Raw genomic sequence first — 20,769 nt, forward strand, 5'->3', positions numbered from 1 at the left:
GTCCCATTATATTATTGAGATTTCTATCTCTGGTCTCCTCCATAGGAACTGGAGATGACCAATCCTGCCTAGGTGTCTTAAGTTAGACCATCAGGTAACAAAGGAATGTCAGAAACAAGGAGCAGCAGAGAGGCCAGGCCAACATTGCCTGATGTTGTCGCCAACTTAGGTTGCTGCAGGCCTGATACAAGAAAGATTTGTCCTTGGCAGGAGAGTAGAGGAAGACAACAGAAATGCCCCTAAAAGTCCCTTATCTCAGGCCCTTTCCCTGACTTTCTCCAATGTCAGCAATGAGTAAAGTGTATCAGGAAAGCATAAATATCAGCTATGCACTAACCAGACAAAACAAAAACAGAAGTGATGGAAATGTGGAAAGGGACACTGTCTGTGAGTGAGGGTGGGTGGAAGAGAGGAGCAGGACTGCAGCAGGAGATTGGGCATCTAGAGGTGAGTGGCAGCCCTCAGCACTCCACTTGCCTTCTAATATCCATGTTCATATTCTGAGGCCCTGAAGGAACAGTCTTCAACATATGAAATTTTAGGAAACACAATTCAGCTCTCATAACAACTCCCAACCTTTTCTAAGTCACTAACAGGTGTTCAGTGGTTCAAAAATCCTCACTCCCTTCAGGCACTGTCCTTTAGCAAATTGAGTTGCCTCCACTTTCAACACTCATCCCAAATAAAACCACTTGCATAATCTTTACTAGAAGGTGATAGTTCAGGCCACGATGCACTCTCCTGAAGAGCTTAATATCCTCAGCTGCTCTTGGTAACATTCCTACCCCAGCATTAGCTCTCTCACACCCACACATCTCTCTCTTTTTGAAGACTGGGAAGTTCTGTGAACGGAACAGAAAGCAGAATTTTCCTCAACTTACTGTGCTCATTGCATAAACCAGCCATTCTAATAATACGGTTGTGTGTGAGAATTCAGATTTGCTTGGAATTGTCTAAAAGCTTCGGTTACACTGATGTAATTGTCATCTTTATATTATATTATATTATATTATACTATATATTATATGATAACATAATATATATTATGTGATGGTCATCTTTATATTTTTATTTGATGTTGATGCTCTCTAAATATATATTTCACAATTATTTGAGCATATTTATATTCTTTCCATTTATCCTAGCAAAGGCTGATTATAATAGAAAACACTTCTTCAGCATTTACTATGATATTCAGTCTTCAGAACTATCATATTAGGGAGGTGTGATTATTATTATTATCTTAATTTTGTAGATGAGGTGATTTAGGTGCGTGCCTAGGTTCATGTAAAGGTAGTGAGTGGAATGGAAGGGAGTCAGTTCTCAGATCTGAGTTCTTGCCTACTGTGCTTCACTGGTTACTTGGTCTTCATTCATTCATTTCTTTACAAGAAAGTGAAAGGAAATGAGATTCAGAGAAGAAAAACAAGTTTCTCTTAGAATATTTTCAAGGTTAAATTTTCCTGAGACTTTAACAGCTGAGGTGAGAAAAAATATATTTTCCTGAGTAAACATGTTTGTTTGAAATCGTAATCACATTTAAAATGTCTTCTAGTATTCTGCTTTACCCCTTGCATTTATATAAAGATACTCAGGGGAATTAATTCCTTTTTTTCCTAGTTACAAAACTCTGTCAATGTAGATCCTGTATGTACTTCCTTAATCCATGCTACATGCATTTTTCTTGGGTAGCATATTAGCATTGGCAAAATTTGTGTATGCCCTTTTAAATTGACTAAATTTGATCCTTCTAATCACAATGGAATTAACATTCTAGAAATCCAAGAGGGAGTCTGATCAGAGAGTTGTCTAAGAAAGGATAAATTGTACACCGCTTACACAGCTTTCATATTCTGCATGAAGATGTCGCCTGTGTCCTGGCCCCAGAGCTGGTGTACCATCCTGAGTGGTTGGGGCTGTAGAAGGCATTGGTCATCAGCCTAAGGTCAAGTGTCTGTAGCCTCAGCTCACCACTGTTATCTCAATGTCAGAGTGTATTCTTGACCTTTCAGTTACACTTCCTAGCAGTTCATAGAGAAGTACAATCACAACTTATCTCATAAGAAATACAAAGCAATGTATATCACCCTCGTATTTTCCTGATGATGTACCAAGTCGGTAAGCTGATACATTTAAGAGGAATTTCATTAAAGTGATTAATCAATGACTCACTTATTAAACAGATAAACCTGTACCTATTTCTTACAAAAGACGTTTTCTCTTCTGCTTAAAAACCACAAATTATTATTTTATTTCATTGATATTGAAATCCACATGTATGCATATTTTTCATCTTGGGAATTGGAATGTGTGGCACATTGTGTTTTTAAAAGTTGATCACGACAGAATCATTCATCTAATGTTTTCTTACAATGGTACCTTGACATCCTCTCTTGAAGGGGTGAGGTCTGTTTTTACCCCCTTGAGCTTCGTTAGAACTTCGTTACTGCCATGACCAATAGATTATATCAGAAGTGATACTTTATGACTTTTGAGTCTAGATCATAGAAATGCCATGCAATTCCAAACTGTTCTTTATGGAACCTGCCACATGCTGCGAGGAAGCCCATGCTGTGAGACAGGGATAGAACATTCATTTTAAAAATGATTGGATACAAAATTATCGCTAAACAATATTCAATAAACAAGTTTGTTTCAGTGACCCAATTCCTACCTATACCACATATTATATTTCTACACATGCATGGCTACATAGCTAAAGATTTATGGATTATTCCTATCTACCTTGCATAGTGATGTTTCAGATGCCTTAGCTCTTCTAGTACTTACAATAGCACTTTGAGGATTTTTTGCATTTATGTTCACTTTTCAAAGGTAGAAATAAAATCTTAATATGATTGAATGACTTTCCCTTGGACATACACTTCATAGGTAACAGCATAATGCAATGCAAGGAGAGCGACAGAGTGAGAGAGAGAGAGAGAGAGAGAGAGAGAGAAATGAGAAAATGACCTTATTCATGAAAACAATATAAAATACCTAGGAACAAAGAGCAAGAAATGCACAGAATTCAGCTGAAGAAGAATGATCAAACTTTAATGCAGAATATGCACTAAAATGTATATACATGTAAATTTGTAGGGACATGGATGAAGCTGGAAACCATCATTCTCAGCAAACTATCGCAAGGACAAAAAACCAAACACCACACGTTCTCACTCGTAGGTGGGAATTGAACAATGAGAACACTTGGACACAGGAAGGGGAACATCACACACCGGGGCCTGTTGTGTGGTGGAGGGAGGGGGGAGGGATAGTATTAGGAGAAATACCTAATGTAAATGATGAGTTAATGGGTGCAGCACACCAACATGGCACATGTATACATATATAACAAACCTGCACGTTCTGCACATCTATCCTAGAAATTAAAGTATAATAAAACATATATATATTTAAAATAAAAATAAAAAGTAAAATCTTAATGTGATCGAGTGATTTTCCCTAAGACATACACTTCACAGGGAACAGCATAAGACAATGCAAGGAAAGAGACAGAGAGACACAGAGAGAGAGAGAGAGAGAAATGAGAGAATGACCTTATTCATGAGAACAATATAAAATACCTAAGATCAAATAGCAAGAAATGCACAGGATTCAGTTGAAGAAGAATGATCAAACTTTGATGCAGAATATGCACTGAAATGTATATACATGTAAATTTTTGCACAGGAAATTGCAATATTCAAATAGGACTAATTTTCCAGGTGTTCTGGTGAAAATTGCACCACAGTCCCCTCTTCATGTCTGATTTCAGCTTTGCTCATTCACAAACTCTTATTTTTCTATTTGTCATTCCATTTCCACAGTTTTGTTGTTTATTGTCATCTCTTCTTTCATTCTCTTCATCCTTGGGTATTAATTTCCTCTGTGCTTCTTTATTTTAATTTTACTGGGACATTAGGAAAGAGCAGAAATCAGTCCATGTTTATGTGTTCAATGCATTGTGCATTCCAATACCCTTAGTAGAGAGACAAATTCCTTATCACAGTCTATAGCAGGTTCTACAGATGATCTTTCTGTTTATGTCTCTTTCTATTTAAGTGTATTCAAGTGACTTTACAAGGCAGACTGCTATTACCTGTGTTCCTAATTTTATCGGAAGAATCTGCTGCTGTCTTTTCTTCCCTGGCTGCATTAGATGTAACAGGACCATGAGTTGATAATCACATGGTTATTTTTTACAATGTTATTGAATAAACATCTAGCAACAATTTTAAATGATGAATACATTTTTATACTCTAATAGTCTAACAAATATAATTTTTTAATAACAAATGTCCATTGTTTCAAGTCTGTTACTTATCCACCTTTAGAACTGCCAAAGCAAATCTCTCCATACTATTAAAAGAATCTTTTGTGCCTTTTAGTAAGCAGACATCATCAGAAACAGAAGTTTATGATATGATACATAAAGAGTTTGAATTTATCTCACATTTTTACTAACCTTATTTTTTAGCTAAACTTGGTCTATATTCACATTTTCTTGACTGAAATATGCCTTTGTACATTTTTATTGAGCAATTAAAGGCTCATTTAACCAGTCATCCTAACAACATGGACATATGGCTTTTGTCAGATTGGAATGATCTACAAAGCTTATGAGGCTTGACCTTTGGGGTCTTTCATGTGCACAGGCCCTTTTCAAGACCCTGTTTTGAGTGAACAGAATAAAAAGAGATGTAAAAGCTTCAGGAACTAGCAGTGGTCTTCTTTATGCCAACTCCTTTACTCAAGCCTTTATGTATTTTTCTGTCTTCCACTGACCCATGGGGACCATAAGATTTCAAGAACTTCTCCTCCCTAAAACAAACTCCAATCATTTGAGGGATATCTGATTTTTTTTCTGAAAAGAAGACTTGAGAATACCTATAGAAGCAAGTTTCTAAATAATCTGATTTTTATGTCTACAAATAATAGCTATCTTCCAGCACTGCTGTAAATGTAATGTGGGATTGCAGATTGTACATGGAAGAATCTGAAAAATGTACTTTAGTGGCTAAACTGAAGGGCCTATTGATATGAGGTATGGCTTTAAATTCTTGCTCTTCTACTAGTTTTTCCTCTGCAGAACATACTCCCTGCAGAATGGTGCCTTCCCTTAGTATTTGTAGTGTTTCTACCTCTCAGCATGGAACAAATGGTCAATGTTAGCAATGGGTTCTTTCCTTTACAACTCACGATGTGGTAAGGAAAATTCTCATGTTTGTTTCTGTCTTTTCACCTTTGCATTCATAATATAATCATCTTAAATACATATCTACAGGCACTTAGCACCACAGTAAGTTTTATAATTTTTGCTTCAACACAAATGTATTGTCTTTCAGTTTTGCAGCTCAGAAATCAGTACTGGGTCTCACTGGGTTGAGTCCATGTGTCATGGATGGAATTCCTTTCTGGAGGTTCTAGAGAAGAATCTCATTTTCTTGCCACATTACCTGTCTTTCTTCCATCTTCAAAGCTAGCAATACCAGTTGAGCCTTTTGAAACTCATGCAGAAAACTTGAGAAGAAAAGGAAGATATTTTTGTTAATTTACTTTTTTCTCACTTTGTTTCTTTTATTCTACATTCTTGAATTTCCAGAAATTCCTTTTCTATCCTTTCTTTTAGTTGAGAAAGTTCCATCGAGCCATTTTTAAAAGATTAGTTTGTTGGAAACAAATTCTTTTAGGTTTCCTTCTTTTCTTTCTTCTGAGAATACCTGAATTTCCTTTTTATTATGGAAGGACAGTTTTATTGGACATAAACATCTGGTTTGCAATTTTTTTTCCTTCAGCACTTTAAATATTTGAGTTACATTCTTCTTCATTTCCTGGTTTCTGATATTAACTCTATGGTTATCCACATTGTGTTTTTCCTATAATTATGATGCCATTTCTTGCTTGCTTTTTAAAAAATATTTTATTTGTTTTATTTTTCAGAAATTTGACTATGGTGTTGCTGGGCATGTGTTTCCTTGTGTATATTATGATTGGAATTTTCCCACCTTCTTGCATTTGTAAGTCTATGTCCTTTGCAAGTGTGAGCATTTTTTGGCCATTATTTCTCTAAGTCCTTTTTTAATATCATCCTCATTGTTCTGTTTTCTGAAATTCAGATTGCATGATTGTCGCATCATTTGTTGTGGCCTTTCATATTTGTGAAACTATGTTAAATTTTTTCAATTGTTTTACCCTGTGTTGTTCAGAGTATAGAATTTCTATTATTGCAACCCCTAAACACTGACTGAGTCTTTCCTCAATCATTTGCTTTCTGATAATTTTCACAGCCAATATGGTTTTTTCTTAATTTTAGACATTATATATGTCAGTTCTGAAATTTCTATTTTATAATATTTTATAGTTCCTTTTTCTGCTGAGAAGTTTTTTCCCATTCTTTTCTGCTGAGAAGTTATTTCCCTCTTTATTTTGGAAATGTTCACATTTACCTCAGAAAAGATGGCTATAAGAGCTGCTTTAAAGTCTGATCATTTCCATATCCAAGTTGTTTCAAGGTTGTCATCCCTTGGTTGCATGCTTCATGAAGAATTGGTCAATTGTTTACGGTTTGTAAAAGTATATTGAGTAGTTTTCTATTGTATTCCTCAGATAGGCATTTTCTCAGTTTACAATACATGAAAAGTTCAATAAGGCAAGCTTTGGACATTGAAGGGTGCAGGCACTCAGGCTGCATTGTGATCCACCTACTGGCTCCACTGGCAGATGGGTTAGTCCCACTGACATTATTCTACTTGGAGCTTCTACGTGGATGATTCCCCTTGGCTCTTATGAGATAAAAGCATAAGTATTTCACATAATACACACTTATAAAATTAAAAACAATAGAAAAGTGCACTGAATGAGTCCCAAGAGCCCTATCCACAACATCTTCCTAACTTTTCATCTTTTGTAACCCATTTGCTCAAAGCTCAATTGAACTCAAGCACTTCTTTTTTCTTTTGCCCTACAGGAACCGCAGAGTTTAACATTTGTTTCTTAGATGCTATCCCCGTAGCCAGGCAGCCCTGCTGTCTTCTGACTGGGGATTTACAGAATGCAGGAAAATGAGGCAGAGGTAGAAAGAGTGACTATACACCTAGCATGCTGGCTCATGACTGTAATCCCACTACTTTTGGAGGCTGAGGTTGGAGGACTATTGATGCCAGGAATTCAAGATCAGCCTGAGCAATGCAGTGAGACGTCCCCATGTATATAAGAAAATGTACAAAATCAACCTTGCATGGTGATTGGCACCTGTAGTCCCATCTAATTCAGAAGGTGATCTGGAAGAATTGTTTGATCCCAGGAGTTCAAGACTGCAGTGAGCCATGATTGCACCACTGTACTCCAGCTTAAGAGACAGAGCAAGTCCCTGTCTCTAAAAAGAAATAATACTAATAATAACATTAATAATAATAAATGACTGCTGCAACTGAAAAGGTTTTTTTCCCCCACCTTGGCTTCTAGCCCCAGGGTCTACTTCCTTTCAAATGCATCTCCAATGTCTATGGATTCTACAGACTTGCAGTCTCTTCCTTTCTTTCCCCTCATGTGCCACTGTGGCTCTATCCTGTATCCTCAGCAAGCCTTCCCACACTCCGACAAAATCAAGTACAATGGTGAACTGAGCAAGTATGGGCAATAGAGCTATAAATATTTATGTTTCTACCCTCCTTGATATTTTTACAATATTTGGAGATGGGTATGTAGGGCCTTTAGTCCTTCTTGGGCCAGGGTCATCTCAGCCTTAAAGGAACTGAAATCAGAGTAGAGGAAAAGAAGTGATAAGACAGATGTGAACAAAGCATCTTCATGCAAGTAAGCAAGATACATTTACTGGCTAATTCAAGCATTGTAACCGCAGCCTAAGACTCAAATGAATAAACACTGAATTTGAAGTCCCCCCAAAGGTGTGCAACAGCTTTGGGGGATTTTTAACACTTTACCTCCTGTTATCTGTGGAATGGAGCAAAAACTAAGTGTTACATGGGAAGTTGGTTTCAATTATACCACCTGGTACTCAGTTTACAACCATTTCCTAATCCTACTTCTTAATGAGCTATATAAAAGGAAAAGATTTATTGACCACTTGTCATACATTTTGGTCAATGTGCCAGCTATTGATATGTGTTTTTTACATTATTAACTGAAGAAAAATGAATGCCTTTTACAAATGTTATAAGATTACAAAACAAAAAGAAATCCAAAGGAAACAAATTAGGGTTGTAATGTGCAAGCCTAATGATTTTCCATCAGAACTCTCATATAATTGCCCTGTTTGATAAGATAAATGAGCAGGAGCAAGGTTGTGGTGAAGGACTCTGCTGAAGCTTTCCCAGGGATTCCTATACTAAAGCTTTGGCTTTCTCAAAGTATTCTCAGAATAAGCAGTTATTGTCATTCTCCAGAAAGTCAACCAGCAAAATGACTTGAGCTTTCCAATAAACTCTTGCCATGACCTTTGTGCTCTCCTCATCCACTTTTGTTTTGACTGGACTTTTCCACTTCTTGGTAGCCATTGCATTGATTGTATTTGTTTTCAGGATTTTACTGGTAAAGCCATGCGTTATCTCCTCTTATAATTCCTTGAAGAAATGCTTACAGTCTTCATTGCTCCTATTTAAATTTTTTAGGGAAACTTCTGCTCTTGTCTGTACTTCATCTTGGTGACACAGTTTGGGCATCCATCAAGTGAAAAGTTTACTAAACTTTAATCATTCAGTTAGAATCATGTAAACTGAACCAACTGAGAAGTCTGCAATGTTGGCTATTGTGTGAACTGCTAATCATCACACATCTTCTCCTGGGTATAAAGAAGATGAATTTATTCCTTGCAATATGATGTGAATCATCTGTCACTGTAGACTTTAGGTTCAACATTGCCTCATTCCTTCCTGAAATGAGGAACTCCTCATTGAATTTGTGAACTGCTGACTTCTTCAACCAATGTCAACTTACCATGTGCCAAGTAGGACAACTTTTTGGACACCATCAATGATTTCATCTTCTTCCACCCAAGCTTCACCATAAATTTGATGTTTTTACTCACTTTACTTTTAGAAGAATTCATGTTGCTCTTCTAGGAGCTCTTTTGAAACTGCTCTCTTATTTTTCTTGATGCCTCAAACTAGCTCGTGTTCAGACATGTTATAGCAAAACATTATGATTTCATTTTGGTGCCAAAAAACTTGGAATCCATTCATGGTATTTCTTAATAGAATATACATTTTCCATTAACATTTTAACAACCCACTGCATATAGGAAGGCGTCCTGATACAACAAGCTCTACTACAGGTAACTTAGACTTTTCCAGCTGACTAGGCAGATTGGTTTCTTGTTTTTCTCCTAGCATAAATAGGAATGTTTTCTGAAGGTGGAATATAATACCAATGGCCAAATTTTCTCCAGCTACATGGAAAGTTTAACATTTGTAAGTAAGAGTCACATGCTTTAATAGAGACACAGAGTGCTTGGGCCAACCTGGTGTCCTGATCTTATTGAATGATTTTCTCTGGTTTCACCAAACATTATTTGGAAAGATAAGCTGGCGATGAGCAGTCTGGCCTAGGTAGCTTACGATGGCCCATCAGGTAGGGAAGAAACACAAGAGAGAAGAAGCAGAGAGGAGTGCCAGGCAGATGTGCCTCCTTGTGGGAGTCAATAGTCCTGGTTGGAGGCAGGCTTCTTTTTGTCTACTGAGTACAGCAAGCCAAGAGGTGATGCTTCCAAATATCACTCTGCTCACACCCTATTCATGACCTTCTCCTATGTCAGAAATGCATGAAAGAGATTAGCATATCAGGAAGGAGTAAATATCAGGTATCAAGCTACCAGAGACAACCAAAACAGAGGTTACCAAAGAACTGAAGGAGACAGTGTCACTTAGGATGAGGTCAAAGCAAGGAGCAGGACTGCAACAGGAGCTTAGGCACTTGTCCATGAGTCAAGGACCTCAGTAATCCACTTGCCATTTAAAACAAATGTAAATTTACCATGTGCCAAGCAGGACTCTTGATTTCTACTCCTAAAACCTGCTCTCCCCTGAATTTCTTCATCATAGCCGTCAAAACAAAATATCACAGACTAGGTATTCTTAAGCAATAGAAATTACTTTCCAACACTTCTGGATGCTCAAGTTCCATGAGGAAGGTGTCAGCAGGTTTAGTTCTTCTGGGCTGTGTCTGCTTGGCATCTAGGTATCTGCCTTCTTGCTGTGTCCTTCCATGGATGTGTATGTACTTCCTGTGTCTCTCTCTACAAATTTCCAGTTCTTATAAGGAATTTCCACTTCTTATAAGGACAGCAATCTTATTGGATTTAGTTCCACTGAAACTCCATCATTTCAGCTTGATAACCTCTTCCTAGGGCTGTTTTCTAAACACAATCATATTCTAAGGGACAAGAAGTTGGTTGTGGATTTTTGTATACCTATGCCTATCATATTTTGCTAAATATTTGATTATATAGAGATTATTTCTTTGGAACTTTGAGCTGTGTGAAGACAACACAAACCTGGCCATTCATGGCTGACAGAAGGTTGGCCCTCAGCCTGGTCAGACCCACACAGATTGTCTAATATTCTTTGATCTGGCTCTAGTCAGAAAAGTCTTGGTGTTGTAGAATACAGGTGTCTTCACGCATTGTATTATTAATATTCATGGGGAGGTTAAAACAAAGTTGGCCCCGAAAACTACCAAGGGGTTCTAGAATGAACAGAATGAATACACAGTTCTTAAAGGGGACATCCTATTTTGTCTTTAAATTTTTTTCCTTGCTCTACCCCTTTGTTAGAATGTTTGATCAGATTCAGTTTGGGATTTACATCTTTTAGGAAATTTTGTTTTTTAATATAGATTCTCGCTCTGTCACCCAGGCTGGAGTGTGGTGTCATGATCCTGGCTTACAGCATCCTTGAACTCCTGTGCTCAGGGGATTCCCCCCGCTTCTGCCTCTTGAGTGGCTTGAATTACAGGTTCATGACACCATGTCCGTTTATTTTTTGTTTGTTTGTTTTAAACTTTTCTTGAAGAGATGGAGCCTCACTTTGCTCAGGCTGGCCTTTTTTTTTTTTTTTTTTTTTTTTTGGAGACGGAGTCTCACTCTGTCCCAGGCTGGAGTGCAGTGGCGCAATCTCTGCTCACTGTAAGCTCCGCCTCCTGGGTTCACGCCATTCTCCTGCCTCAGCCTCCTTAGTAGCTGAGACTACAGGCGCCCACCACCACGCCCGGCTAATTTGGTTTTGTATTTCTAATAGAAACGGGGTTTCACTGTGTTAGCCAGGATGGTCTCGATCTCCTGATCTCATGATCTGCCCGCCTCGGCCTCCCAAAGTGCTGGGATTACAGGCATGAGCCACCGTGTCCGGCCTGGTCTTGAACTTCTGGCCTCAAGGGATCCTCACACCTCACTCTTCCAAAGTCCTGCGATTATAGGCATCAGTTGCCACATTCAGCCTTTCTTCTAGGAAAAATTTTTAATCACTCCCAATTAAAATGCGTGGTCACAATTATATGCTTAAATAAGATGGTCTGGCACCCACATAAAAGCCTCAAGAGTATTGCATTGATCTATTTCTTAGAGCCTGTGATATCTGTCTCCCAGACTGTTCTTTCACACAGAAATTTTTTTCATTTTTGCAATATTCTGAAACTAATTTCTTCCCAGTCTCTTTCTAAAATGTATTTATTGAAATTTTGTGTTCTAAATCAATCTTGCCTGTGTTTACTTTTCATCTTATATCTGACTTCTTTTTAAATGAAATTTGGGAAAATTTTTAAATCTAATCTTCTAAGTAACCATCTATATTTCTTGTTACTCCTTTATTTTTCTTTTTGTTTTTAAAATTTGCATCAATATACTGTGTTTCCAAGGTCTTTTTACTGAGGTTCTGTTGGTAGCTCTCTTTTCATCTGCTGACTTTTCTGTTATATCAAGTAGTTCCTGCCCATCCTTTCATCCTTTTCATGGAAAGCGTAGGTGAGTCAGTATCAACAGCTGCCACTTATCATTTCAGGCTTTGAATAAGTCTCGTGCTGTCATTCAGTTTTTGTTCAGGGATAGTGATAACTTCGGGATGGCCATGTTAGAAGTAATGAGTAGGGGGATGTGACTGGAAATCCTAAAGACAAACTGCTTGATCAGTTGGATGAGGGGATCCTGTGTTGTACACATAAGAATCTGTTCCTGCCCTTCCAGAATGGTTTGAGAATAAAAGGGGATTTCAAAAAGTTTGTGGAAGAATATAATTACAATATGAAAGTAGACATTATGTAAACTTTATTTCTTAACGTAAGCTCCATCACATTCAAGAAGTTTAGCAAGTAATGATACAAGTAATTTAGCCTATCTATAAAAATTGACGATCCTGAAATTAGTTTCAGAATGCAGTCTTTTCACATCATTAACTGAAGAAAACAGAGTACACTTTAAAAATATTTCAATATTAGAAAAAAAATCTGAAGTCCAAAGATACTGCATCAGAACTGTAAGTTGGGTGCCTAGGGATTTTCTTTTTTTTTTTTTTCTTTTTTGTTTTATTTACATAGCTTGGGGAACAGGTGGTGTTTGGTTATGTGAATCAGTTCTGCAGTGGTGATTTGTGAGATTTTGGTGCACCCATCATCCGGGCAGTATACACTGCACCCAGTGTATAAGAGAGAGGTAAAAGTGACGTCTTTTACCCCTCTCCCCTTTCCCACTCTTTCCCCCTGAGTTCCCAAAGTCCATTGTGTCATTCTTATGCCTTCGCATTCTCATAGTTTAGCTCCGATTCATGAGTGAGAACATGCGATGTTGGCTTTTCCATTCCTAAGTTGCTTGACTTAGAATGATAACATCAACTTATGAGAGAGTATGGAGTAAGTTAGCCAAAACTTTAGCAGGGAAATGCCCGGAAAAGCTTTAGCAGAGAGTTCTTATCCATCACAACAATGCTCCTGCTCATTTCTCTCATGAAACAAGGGCAATTTTGCCAGACTTATGAGGGACATTCACTAGGCATCCAATCTCATCCATTTATCTGCTAAAGATTTGGCTAACTTTCTCCAAACTCCAAACTTATAAGCTGATGTCGTCATCTTTGACCCTCCAGAAAGTTAACAAACAAAATACCTCGAACATCCAAAAATACCGTTGACATGATGTTTGCTCTTGTCGCATTTATTTAGACTAGACCACTTCCACCTCTTGGTAGCCATTGCTTTGATTGTGTTTTTCCTTTAGGATGGCACTGGTAAAGCCATGTTTGATTTCCTGTTACAACTCTCCAAAGAAATGCTTTAGGATCTTTTCTTTTCTTTTCTTCTACTTCCTACTTCTTTAATTTTTCATTGAACCTTCTGTTCTTCTCTGTAGCTGACTCAGGTACAGCAGTTTTGGCCATCATCAAGTCGATAGTTTGCTCAACTTTAATTTTTCAGCCAGAAAAAAATTTATGTAATCTGAACCAATTGACAGTCTTCTTGTGCTAGCCCTTTTTTCTGCTGTTAACTGTGAGGTCTCTTCAATTGGAATAAAAGAAGATAAAATTTTTGCCCATAAGTTGCTGTGTATGGTCTGCTGCTGCAGAGTTCATCTTCACCATCATCTAGTCAATTCTTAAAAGGAGTTATCCATTTGTGAAGGGCTGATTTACTTGGGCACAAATATTTCATGATGCATCAGTGATTTCACCATCCCTCCGCCCAAGCTGCATCATAAACTTGATATTTGTTCTTGATACAATTTTAGTAGAATATTTGTTGATCTGATAGAAGTTGTTTTCAAACTGCTGTCTCAACCATGTTAGTGACTGAACTATATCCTTTTCAGACATGTTGTAACAAGTTAGTAAAAATGTATTTTGGTATGAAAAATGTTTGTATCCCTGCATAATTTTAAAAAATAATATATATTTTCCACAAACAGTTTGAAGATGCCTTATATTACTGGAAGTTGTCCTCATACAATGAAGTTTGTTGCTGATTACTCTGCCATTGGCTGGTGATCAGGCAGATTGTTGTTTTCCTCCCTCACCCCTTCTGGAATATTAGGGATGTTTGCTAAGAGGAAATATATTACCAGTTAGCAATTCTTCTTTGGCTATGCAATAATAAAACAATTGTAGCTTGGCTTTATGTGCTTTATGGGAGGCACAGAATAGTTGCCTGGCCTAGCAGGTACCCTAATGTTATTGGGATGAGTGTCACTACATTCCACACACACTAATTGGACAGGGAAACTGGAGATGAATGTTCCTGCTTAGTGACTTATGCTGGACCTTCTAAGTAGGAAAGGAAGATCAGAGGGCAGGCACAGAGGGAAGTGCCATGCAGACTTGCCTCGTTGCATAGGTTCCTGTAGAAGTGATAGTCCTGGTGAAAGAAAGGCTCCCCCTTGTCTTGGTGAATACAGGAAGACAGCAAGCATTGCCTTCAAATATCACTCAGCTCACGCCCTTTCCCTGACATTTTCCAATGTCAGCAATGAGTGAAAAAGATTAGTGTATTAGAGAAGAATAAAAATCAGCTATGAACTCTCCAGACACAAATAAAACAGAGGTGACAGAAGAGCTGAAAGAGACCCTGTCAGTGAGTGAGGATGGGGTCAAAGTGAGGAGCAGGACTGCAACAGGAGCTCAGGCACCTTTCTGTCAGTTGAAGCTCTCAACAATTTGCATCAATATACTGTGTTTCCAAGGTCTTTTGGGTTGGGAACCAACCCAAATGTCCATCAATGATAGACTGAATTAAGAACACGTGGCACATATACACCATGGAATACTGTGCAGTGATAAAAAACGATTAGTTCATGTCCTTTGTAGCGACATGGATGAAGCAGGAAACCATCATTCTGAGCAAACTATCACAAGGAAAGAAAACCAAACACCAAATGTTCTCACTCATAGGTGGGAATTGAACAATGAGAACACTTGGACACAGTGTGGGGAACATCACACACCAGGGCCTGTTGTGTGGTGGGGAGATGGGGGAGGGATAGCATTAGGAGAAATATCTAATGTAAATGATGAGTTAATGGGTGCAGCAAACCAACATGGCACAAGTATACATATGTAACAAACCTGCACATTGTGCAAATGTACCCTAGAACTTAAAGAATAATAAGAAAAAATAAAATAAAATAAAATTGACACCCTAACATCACAATTAAAAGAACTAGAGAAGCAAGAGCAAACAAATTCAAAAGCTAGCAGAAGACAAGAAATAACTAAGATCAGAGCAGAACTGAAGGAGATAGAGACATGAAAAACCCTTCAAAAAATCAATGAATCCAGTTGCTGGTTTTTTGAAAAGATTAACAAAATATATAGAGCACTAGCCAGACTAATAAAGAAGAAAAGAGAGAAGAATTAAATAGACACAATAAAAAATGATAAAGGGAATATTACCAGTGTCCCACTGATATACAAACTACCATCACAGAATACCATAAACACCTCTACACAAATAAACTAGAAAATCTAGAAGAAAAGGACAAATTCCTGGACACATTCACACTCCAGACACTAAGCCAGGAAGAAGTTGAATCGCTGAATAGACCAATAAAAAGTTCTGAAATTGAGGTAGTAATTAATAACCTACCAAGAAAAAAAGCCCAGGACCAGCTGGATTCACAGCCGAATTATACCAGAGGTACAAAGAGCTGCTGGTACCATTCCTTCTGAAAATATTCCATACAATAGAAAAAGAGGCACGCCTTCCTAACTCATTTTATGAGGCCAGCATCATCCTGACACCAAAACCTAGCAGAGACACAACAAAAAAAACAAAATTTTAGGCCAATATCCCTCATGAACATCAATGCGAAAATCCTCTATAAAATACTGGCTAACCGAATCCAGCAGCACATCAAAAACCTTATCCACCGTGATCAAGTCAGCTTCATCCCTGGGATGCAAGGCTGGTTGAACAAACAGAAATCAATAAATGTAATCCGTCAAGTAAACAGAACAAATGACAAAAAGCACATGATTATCTCAATAGATGCAGAAAAGGCCTCTGATGAAATTCAACACCCATTCATTCTAAACATAATAAACTAGGTATTGATGAAACATATCTCAAAATAATAAGACCTATTTATGAAAAACCCATAGCCAATATCATACAGAATGGGCAAAACTGGTAGCATTCCCTCTGAAAACCTGCACAAGACAAGAATGCCCTCTCTCACCACTCCTATTCAACATAGTATTGGAAGTTCTGGCCAGGGCAATTAGGAAAGAGAAAGAAATAAAGGTATTCAAATAGAAAGAGAGGAAGTCAAATTGTCTCTGTTTGCAGATGATATGATTGTATATTTAGAAAACACCATCATCTCAGCCCCAAAACTCCTTAAGCTAATAAGCAACTTCAGCAAAGTCTTAGGATACAAAATCAATGTACGAAAATCACAAGCATTCTTATACACCAATAACAGACAAACAGCCAAATCATGAGTGAACTCCCATTCACAATTGCTTCAAAGAGAATAAAATACCTAGGAATCCAACTTACAAGGGATGTGAAGGACCTCTACAAGGAGAACTACAAACCACTGCTCAAGGGAATCAGAGAGGACACAAACGAATGGAAAAACATTCCAGGCTCATGGATAGGAAGAATCAATATTGTGAAAATGGCCACAATGCTCAAAGTAATTTATAGATTCAACACTATTCCCATCAAACTACCATTGACTTTCTTCAGAGAATTAGAAAAAACTACTTTAAATTTCATATGGAACTAAAAAGAGCCCATATTGCCAAGACAATACTAAGCAAAAAGAACAAAGCTGGAGGCATCATGCAACCTGATTTCAAACTATACTACAAGGCTACAGTAACCAAAATGGCATGGTACTGGTACCAAAACAGATATATAGACCAATGGAACAGAACAGAGGCCTCAGAAATCACGCCACACATCTACAACCATCTGCTCTTTGACAAACCTGACAAAAACAAGCAATGGGGAATGGTTTCCCTATTTAATAAACGGTGTTTGGAAAACTGACTAGCCATATGCAGAAAACTGAAAATGTACCCCTTCCTTACACCTTACACAAAAATTAACTAATTGAAGAGGTCCTTCACATCCCTTGTAAGTTAGATTCCTAGGTAGTTTATTCTCTTTGAAGCAATTGTGAATGGGAGTTCATCATGATTTGGCTGTTTCTCTGTTGTTGGTATATAAGAATGCTTGTGATTTTTGCACATTGATTTTGTATCCTGAGACTTTGCTGAAGTTGCTTATCAGCTTAAGGAGATTTTGGGCTGAGACGATGGGGTTTTCTAGATATACAATAATGTCATCTGCAAACAGAGACAATTTGACTCCCTCTTTTCCTAATTGAATACACTTTCTTTCTTTCTCCTTTCTGATTGCCCTGGCCAGAACTTCCTCAACAAAATAAAAGAAGATACAAATGGAAGAAAACTCCATGCTCATGGATAGGAAGAATCAAAATCGTGAAAATGGCCATACTGCCCAAGGTAATTTACAGATTCAATGCCATCCCCATCAAGCTACCAATGACTTTCTTCACAGAATTGGAAAAAACTAATTTAAAGTTCATATGGAACCAAAAAAGAGCCTGCATTGCCAAGTCGATCCTAAGCCAAAAGAACAAAGCTAGAGGCATCAGGCTACCTGACTTCAAACTATACTACAAGGCTACAGTAACCAAAACAGCATGGTACTGGTACCAAACCAGAGATATAGACCAATGGGACAGAACAGAGCCCTCAGAAATAATACCACATGTCTACAACTATCTGATCTTTGACAAACCTGACAAAAACAAGAAATGGGGAAAGGATTCCCTATTTAACAAATGGTGCTGGGAAAACGGGCTAGCTATATGTAGAAAGCTGAAACTGGATCCCTTCCTTACACCTTTACACCTTATACAAAAATTAATTCAAGATGGATTAAAGACTTAAATGTTAAATCTAAAACCATAAAAACCCTAGAAGAAAACCTAGGCAATACCATCCAGGACATAGACATGGGCAAGGACTTCATGTCTAAAACACCAAAAGCAATGACAACAGAAGCAAAAATTGACAAATGGGATCTAATTAAACTAAAGAGATTCTGAGCAACAAAAGAAACTACCATCAGAGTGAGCAGATGCCACTCTGTAGCAACCTACAGAGGGGGAGAAAATTTTTGCAAGCTGCTCATCTGACAAAGGGCTAATATCCAGAATCTACAATGAACTCAGACAAATTTACAAGAAAAAAGCAAACAACCCCATCAACAAATGGGTGAAGGATATGAACAGACACTTCTCAAAAGAAGACATTTATGCAGCCAACAGACACAGGAAAAAATGCTCATCATCACTGGCCATCAGAGAAATGCAAATCAAAACCGCAATGAGATACTATCTCACACCAGTTAGAATGGCAATCATTAAAATGTCAGTAAAAGACAGGTGCTGGAGAGGAGGGGAGAAATAGGAACACTTTTACACTGTTGGTGAGAGTGTAAACTGGTTCAACCATTGTGGAAGACAGTGTGGTGATTCCTCAGGGATCTAGAGCTAGAAATACCATTTGACCCAGCCATCCCATTACTGGATATATACCCAAAGGATTATAAATCATGCTGCTATAAAGACACATGCATACGTATGTTTATTGCAGCACTATTCACAATAGCAAAGACCTGGAACCAACCCGAATGTCCAACAATGATAGACTGGATTAAGAAAATGTGGTGAGGCTGGAGCCAAGACGGCCAAATAGGAACAGCTCTGGTCTACAGCTCCCAGCATGAGCAACGCAGAAGATGGGTGATTTCTGCATTTCCATCTGAGGTACGTGGTTCATCTCACTAGGGAGTGCCAGACAGTGGGCGCAGGACAGTGGGTGCAGTGCACCGTGTGTGAGCTGAAGCAGGGCGAGGCATTGCCTCACTCAGGAAGCACAAGGGGTCAGGGAGTTCCCTTTCCTAGTCAAAGAAAGGGGTCACAGATGGCACCTGGAAAATCGGGTCACTCCCACCCCAATACTGCGCTTTTCCAACAGGATTAAAAAACGGTGCATCAGGAGATTATATCCTGCACCTGGCTCAGAGGGTTCTACGCCCACGGAGTCTCGATGATTGCTAGCACAGCAGTCTGAGATCAAACTGCAAAGCGGCAGAGAGGCTGGGGGAGGGGCGCCCGCCATTGCCCAGGCTTGCTTAGGTAAACAAAGCAGCCGGGAAGCTCGAACTGAGTGGAGCCCACCACAGCTCAAGGAGGCCTGCCTGCCTCTGTAGGTTCCACCTCTGGGGGCAGGGCACAGACAAAAAAAAAGACAGCAGTAACCTCTGCAGACTTAAATGTCCCTGTCTGACAGCTTTGAAGAGAGCAGTGGTTCTCCCAGCATGCAGCTGGAGATCTGAGAATGGGCAGACTGCCTCCTCAAGTGGGTCCCTGACCCCTGAACCCTGAGCAGCCTAAATGGGAGGCACCCCCTGGTAAGGGCAGACTGACACCTCACACAGCTGGGTACTCCTCTGAGACAAAACTTCCAGAGGAACGATCAGACAGCAGCATTCGCAGTTCACGAAACTCTGCTGTTCTGCAGCCACTGCAGCTGGTACCCAGGAAAACCAGGTCTGGAGTGGACCTCTAGCAAACTCCAACAGACCTGCAGCTGAGGGTCCTGTCTGTTAGAAGGAAAACTAACAAACAGAAAGGACATCCACACCAAAAACCCATCTGTACATCACCATCATCAAAGACCAAAACTAGATAAAACCACAAAGATGGGGAAAAAACAGAGCAGAAAAACTGGAAACTCTAAAAAGCAGAGTGCCTTTCCTCCTCCAAAGGAAAGCAGCTCCTCACCAGCAATAGAACAAAGCTGGACGCAGAATGACTTTGATGAGTTGAGAAAAAAAGGCTTCAGACGATCAAACTACTCCAAGCTACAGGAGGAAATTCAAACCAAAGGCAAAGAAGTTGAAAACTTTGAAAAAACTTTAGACGAATGTATAACTAGAATAACCAATACAAAGAAGTGCTTAAAGGAGCTGACGGAGCTGAAAGCCAAGGCTCAAGAACTACGTGAAGAATGCGGAAGCCTCAAGAGCTGATGCGATCAACTGGAAGAAAGGGTATCGTGATGGAAGATGAAATGAATGAAATGAAGCGAGAAGGGAACTTTAGAGAAAAAAGAATAAAAAGAAATGAACAAAGCCTCCAAGAAATATGGGACTATGTGAAAAGACCAAATCTACGTCTGATTGGTGTGCCTGAAAGTGACAGGGAGAATGGAACCAAGTTGGAAAACACTCTGCAGGATATTATCCAGGAGAACTTCCCCAATCTAGCAAGGCAGGCCAACATTCAGACTCAGGAAATACAGAGAATGCCACAAAGATACTCCTCGAGAAGAGCAACTCCAAGACACATAATTGTCAGATTCACCAAAGTTGAAATGAAGGAAAAAATGTTAAGGGCAGCCAGAGAGAAAGGTTGGGTTACCCACAAAGGGAAGCCCATCAGACTAACAGTGGATCTCCAGGCAGAAACTCTACAAGCCAGAAGAGAGTGGGGGCCAATATTCAACAATCTTAAAGAAAAGAATTTCAACCCAGAATTTCATATCCAGCCAAACTAAGCTTCATAAGTGAAACACAAATAAAATCCTCTAAAGACAAGCAAATGCTGATAGATTTTGTCACCACCAGGCCTGCCCTAAATGAGCTCCTGAAGGAAGCACTAAACATGGAAAGGAACAACCGGTACCAGCCACTGCAAAATCATGCCAAATTGTAAAGACCATCAAGGCT

The 20,769-nt window shown here is 38.8% G+C and overlaps 1 long non-coding RNA gene across 1 annotated transcript in view, besides 2 other annotated features; it reads left to right on the top strand.

Moving 5' to 3' along the window:
* LOC107987435 (uncharacterized) overlaps window positions 1–14,109 on the top strand; it is a 96,284-nt gene extending 82,175 nt beyond the window's left edge. The window contains exon 2 of the long non-coding RNA XR_007063209.1: window positions 5,944–14,109. This is a non-coding gene — a long non-coding RNA (uncharacterized LOC107987435). The remainder of the gene's footprint in view (window positions 1–5,943) is intronic.
* Window positions 18,705–19,206: an enhancer, noted in NCBI's record as "H3K4me1 hESC enhancer chr12:11443165-11443666 (GRCh37/hg19 assembly coordinates)". NCBI's record gives its function as "activates a minimal SCP1, AML or CMV promoter by ChIP-STARR-seq in primed H9 embryonic stem cells {active_cell/tissue: H9 hESC(primed)}" and the evidence as "EXISTENCE:reporter gene assay evidence [ECO:0000049][PMID:30033119]".
* Window positions 19,207–19,706: an enhancer, noted in NCBI's record as "H3K4me1 hESC enhancer chr12:11443667-11444166 (GRCh37/hg19 assembly coordinates)". NCBI's record gives its function as "activates a minimal SCP1, AML or CMV promoter by ChIP-STARR-seq in primed H9 embryonic stem cells {active_cell/tissue: H9 hESC(primed)}" and the evidence as "EXISTENCE:reporter gene assay evidence [ECO:0000049][PMID:30033119]".

The sequence above is a fragment of the Homo sapiens genome, chromosome 12 (genome assembly GCF_000001405.40).
Source record: "Homo sapiens chromosome 12, GRCh38.p14 Primary Assembly".
NCBI classification, from domain to species: domain Eukaryota; kingdom Metazoa; phylum Chordata; class Mammalia; order Primates; family Hominidae; genus Homo; species Homo sapiens.